Source organism: Homo sapiens, chromosome 4 (genome assembly GCF_000001405.40).
Source record: "Homo sapiens chromosome 4, GRCh38.p14 Primary Assembly".
NCBI classification, from domain to species: domain Eukaryota; kingdom Metazoa; phylum Chordata; class Mammalia; order Primates; family Hominidae; genus Homo; species Homo sapiens.
In genome coordinates this window covers 103,374,134-103,375,745 of record NC_000004.12, presented here as the reverse complement: position 1 = coordinate 103,375,745, position 1,612 = coordinate 103,374,134, and the positions used below count along the sequence as shown (strand labels likewise).

The 1,612-nt window shown below is 40.1% G+C and overlaps 1 annotated feature.

The window, feature by feature from the left end:
• Nucleotides 674-1,208: an enhancer, noted in NCBI's record as "OCT4-NANOG hESC enhancer chr4:104295695-104296229 (GRCh37/hg19 assembly coordinates)". NCBI's record gives its function as "activates a minimal SCP1, AML or CMV promoter by ChIP-STARR-seq in naive and primed H9 embryonic stem cells {active_cell/tissue: H9 hESC(naive and primed)}" and the evidence as "EXISTENCE:reporter gene assay evidence [ECO:0000049][PMID:30033119]".

Below are 1,612 nucleotides of genomic sequence, written 5' to 3'. Positions count from 1 at the left end.
ACAGGCATGAGCCACGGCACTCAGCCCACTGACTCAAATGTTAATCACCTTTGGCAACACCCTCACAGACACACCCAGGCACAATACCTTGCATCCTTCAATCCAGTCAAATGGACACTCAGTATTAACCATCACAATGCCCAAAACTGATCTCCTAATTCTTCCCCTCAAACCGTTTTTCCCACATGATTGTCCATCTCAGTCAATGGCAGCTTCAATGTTCAGGCTACTCAGGCCGAACACCCTGAGTCATCCTGGACTCCATTCCCTACCCTTTAGTCAATCTAACCTGGCAGATTTCCATACAAAACATATCCAGGACTGACTGACTACTTCCTACCATCTCCACCACTGTGTCGACGAAAAGAGTCAAACTCTGAAATATTTGAAGAGATTTATTCTAAGACAAATATGAGTGACCATGGCCCTTGACACAGCCCTCAGGAAGTCCTGAGAACATGTGCCCAAGGTGGTTGGGACGCAGCTTGGTTTTATACATTTTGAGAGGCATGAGACATCAATCAAATACATTTAAGAACTACATTGGTTTGGTCCAGAAAGGCAGAACAACTCAAAGTGGGGGCTTCTAGGCTATAGGTGAATTTAAACATTTTGTGGTTGGCAATTGGTTGAGTTTGTCTAAAGACCTGGGATAGATAGAAACAATGGAATGTTCAGGTTAAGATAAAGATTGTAGAGATCAAAGTTCTTTTGAAGTCTTAGAGTGGCTGCCCTTAGAGGCTATAGGTGACAAATGTTTCCTATTCAGATCTTAGTTAATCTGTTTAGGATTAGGAGGGTCTGGAAGAAAAAGATCTAGCTATGTTAATAGAGAGTCTTTACAGATGCAAATTTTCCCCCACAAAGAATAGCTCTGCAGGGCCATTTCAAAATACGGCAAAGAAACATGTTTTGATGTAAAATATTTTGATTTTCTTCTTTGTCTCGTAATGTTATGCCAGAGTCAGTTTGGAAAGTAAGTCATGATATATAGGATTAAATAAAACACATCTGATGAGAATTTATGATTTGTAGGGCATGACCCCCAGACCACTTTTTAGATAAGAATTTGGGCAAGATAAAAAAAAAATCAGAGTTTAATCCTCAACTGGAACTCTTGCAGGTGCTACCATCACTCTCTTTTATTATTGTACTAGCCTTCTGTCTGGTCTCATTGTTTCCACTCTTCCATGTTAAAGTTCTCCCTTCACATAGACTTAACATATGCATTTCAAATAAAGTCAGAATATGTTACTCTTTTGTATAAATTCCTTCAGTGCCTTTCCATCTCATTCAGAGTAAAAATCAAAGTCTTTTACATTTGTCTGCCCTCTCCTCAACATCTCTCTGCTCATATCTCCTACTACTGTCCTCCTGTTCTACTTCAGCCAAGCTGGCGTATTCCTTGCTGCCTTGTTTCTTAAACACACTATGCATGTTCTACTATGCACAATGGAACTGTTCCTTTGCTACTCCCTCCCAGGGACTTTCTCCCATTAGATAGCCACATAGCCCACTGCTTCACTTTCTTCATGTCTTTGCTCAAATACAGTTGGCTCTTGTAATTCCTATCAGTAATGCTCTATATGTTATGTTCAATAGAGCCTATAAT